Source organism: Homo sapiens, chromosome 4 (genome assembly GCF_000001405.40).
Source record: "Homo sapiens chromosome 4, GRCh38.p14 Primary Assembly".
Taxonomy (NCBI): domain Eukaryota; kingdom Metazoa; phylum Chordata; class Mammalia; order Primates; family Hominidae; genus Homo; species Homo sapiens.
The window spans coordinates 135,314,325-135,318,002 of record NC_000004.12 but is presented as its reverse complement, the minus strand read 5'-3'; the positions used below and the strand labels follow the sequence as shown (position 1 = coordinate 135,318,002).

Below are 3,678 nucleotides of genomic sequence, written 5' to 3'. Positions count from 1 at the left end.
CTGGAACACCAAGGTATATAAAGCAAATATTATTCGATCTAAAGTGAGAGACAGACCCAAATACAATAATGAGTGGAGACCTCAACATCCTATTTTAGGCACTGTGCAGTTCATCCAGACAGGAAATTAGCAAAGAAACATTGGGCTTAATCTGCAACATAGATCAAATAGTCCTAATAAATATTGACAGAAAATTTCATCCAACAGCTACAAAATACATATTCTTCTCTTAGCCCATGGATCATTCTCAAGGATAGACCACAAGTGAGGCCATAAAACAAGTTTTTTAGAAATGAAAAAAGTTTACACCTTATTAGACATCTTCTCTGAACGCAATGAAATAAAATTAGAAATCAGTAAGGAAAAAACTTTTGAAACTCTACAACGATGTAGAAATTAAACAATATGATCTTGAATGCTCAATGAGCGAATGAAGAAATTAAAAAGGGAATTTAAAAATTTCTGGAAAAAAATGAAAATGAAAACACAATATGCCAAAACCTATGGGACATAGCAAAACTAGTATTAAGTGGATAGTTTATAGCAATAAGTGCCTACATAAAACAAGAGAAAAACTTCAAACAATCCAACAATGCATCTTAAAGAAGTAGAAAAACAAGAGCAAAACAAACTCAAAATTGGGAAAAGAAAATAGTAAGAATAAGTGCAGAAATAAATGAAATTGAAATAAAAAATAATAAAAGATAAAGAAGACAAAAAAGTTTGTTTTTTTGAAAATATAAACAAAAATGACAAACCTTTAGCCAGACTAATTAAGAAAAGAAGACCTATATAGATAAATCAAAGATGAAAAAGGAGACATTACAACTGATATAGCAGAAATTCAAAGGATTATTAAAGACTTCCATGAGCAACTATGTACCAATAAATTGGAGAACCTAGAAGAAATAAATTATCAGACACATACAATCTACTAAGATTGAACTATGAAGAAATCGAAAACCTGAAAAGACCAAAAACAAAAAACAAGATCAAATTTAGTAAGAAGTTTTCCACCAAAGAAAAGCCTGGATTGTTATAGTACGTAGCTAGTAAGACATGAGCAGGGCAGGAGGGCTCCCCACTCAACCACCAGAAATGTCAGGTGACCATCAGATGATGGTCCAGCAGTTGTTAACTCTCTCTCTAAAATAATAATTGCTTACAAGCAGCGCCAGGGAAAGGCAGTCTCCCAGTAGAGAGAAAACACCCAAAACTGGTGATCAGCAGCTTCCTAATAAGATCTTAGGAGTTGGGCGAGTGGGCTCAAGCATGATCATTAAGAGGCAAAGTGATGGAGTTTAAATGGTATCATCACCTTCCTCTAGGAATTCTAGACCAGCAAGTGAAGAACGCTTCAAGTAAGCATGTGTACAACTCCAGCAAACACACTGAACATGCTCTCCGCACAAGTGCTAGCAGGCCACTGAACATGCAGACAGCCCACGCCAAGGGAAGAATCAGAGAAGTAATGCAGGATCTTGGAAGTACGCCAACGTATAAAACCCCAAGTCAAAAGGTCAAACTGTGCTCTTGATCTCTCAAGTTGCCCACTTGGCCCTCTTCCAAGGGTACTTTACTTCCTTTTATTCCTGCTCTACAACTTTTTAATAAACTTACACTCCTGCTCTAAAACATGCTTTGGTTTCTCCTTCTGAGTCTTTCTTCTGAGGAAGAAATAATTGAAGTTGCTGCAGATCTGTATGGATATAGATTTGCTGCCAGTAACGAGATCTGATGGTTTCACTGCTGAATTTTATCAAACATTTAAGGAAGAACTGATACCAATCCTGCTCAAACTATTGCAAGATGTATAAGATTAGGGAATACTTCAAAACTCATTTTAGGAGGACAGTATTACTGACATCAAAAATCAAACAAAGACATAAGAAGAACAAAACAAAACTACAGGCCAGTATCTGATGAACATTGATGCAAAATTCCTAAACAAAACACTAGCAAATTGAATTCAACAACATATTAAAATGATCATTCATCATGACCAAGTAGAATTCATCCCAGGAAGGAAAGAATGATCTAACATATGCAAATCAATCAATGAAGTCAAATCAATCAAATTGATTGAAATCAATCAAAGAGTGCAAAGGTTAGTGGAGAGGGAGGGAAAAAGTGTGGATTGATGATGGGTATAAAAACATAGTTAGAATGAGTAAGATCTAGTACTTGATAGCACAACAGGTTGACTACAGTCAAAAATAATTTATGATATATTTTTAAATAGCTAAAATAGCAGAAATGGAATGCTCTTGTAATGAAGAAATAATAAATGCTTGGGGTGGTAAATACCTCAATTTCTCTGATATGGTTATTGCACATTATATTCCTGCATAAAACCATCACATGTACCCCATAAATATATACACCTACTATGTACACATAAAAATTAAAAATGAGAAATTAAATTTAAAAAATAGAATGGCCACTAAATCTCAGGTAATATAAAAAGAAAATTAAATCAAGTGCTTGCTTCAGTAGCACGTATACTAAATTTGGAAAGATACAGAGAAGATTAGCATAGCCCCTACACAAGAATGATATAAATTCATGAATTGTTCTGTATTTCAGGAATAAAAATCAAATTAAATCCTAATCAAATTACTATAAATACATGGAAAAGAGAAAAATCTAAAAAGAAATTACAGGGAAAAAGGCACATTATATACTAGAAATGAAAGATGAATATGACCAAATAATTCTTTTTGGAAAGAACCTAAGGCAAAAGACAAAAAAAAAAAATGTCTTTAAAGTGCTGAGGAAGAGGAGTACACCTCTTCAATTTAAAATTGTACAGCCAGAAAAAAATGTTTTTTAGAAAATGAAAAGAAATAAATACCAAACACTTATAGATTCATTACTAAATAACTTACACTACACTAAAATTAATACTTAGCAATTTTTTTCAAAATGAAATAAAATGACCCTAGGTGGAAATTAAGCACTCATATAGAAGTGAAGAGTAACAGAATTAGTAAATATGTGAGTAAATATGGCCTCTTCTCCTTTTCAAGTTTCCTTTAAAACATAATTGAGCCAGGCATAGTGGCTCACTCCTGTAATCTCAGAACTCTGGGAGGTTGGGGCAAGATGATCAATTGAGGCCAAGAATTCAAGACAAGCCTGGCCCACACAATTAGATCTCATCTCTACAAAAAAAAAAAAAAAAAAAAAAAAGGCCATTAAAAGAAAAACTAGCTGGGCATAGTGGCATACATCTTTAGTCCTAGCTACTCAGGAGGCTAAGACAGGAGGATCACTTGAGCCCAGAAGTTTGAGGTTACAGTGAGTTGTGATTGCACCACTGCACTCCAGCCTGGGCAACACAATGAGATCTGGTCTCAATAAATAAATAAATAAATAAATAAATAAATAAATAATTGATTATTTAAAACAAAAATAACAACATATTTTATTATTTAAAACATATTCAGAAGTAAAAGTATTAATACAACAGTACAACGGGTGACAGAGACAAACTGAAAAATATTTGCATAAGTGGTTAATGCTATGTAAAAAAGTCTGCAATATTGTTGGAAAGTATATTGTAATAAGATAAATATTGTTAACCTTAGATTGACCTGTAAAAGAAAATTAAAGAAAAAGAAAAAAAATTTAAATATAGCTAATTAGCCAAGAGTAAATAATACAAGGTATTAAATA

At 32.8% G+C, this 3,678-nt stretch overlaps 1 non-coding gene across 1 annotated transcript; it reads left to right on the top strand.

Moving 5' to 3' along the window:
* Positions 1-2,480: 2,480 nt before the first annotated feature.
* LOC124900883 (U6 spliceosomal RNA) lies at positions 2,481-2,585 on the top strand. The gene has a single exon (XR_007058517.1). It is a non-coding gene; the product is annotated as a U6 spliceosomal RNA (small nuclear RNA).
* The last annotated feature ends 1,093 nt before the right edge of the window (positions 2,586-3,678 follow it).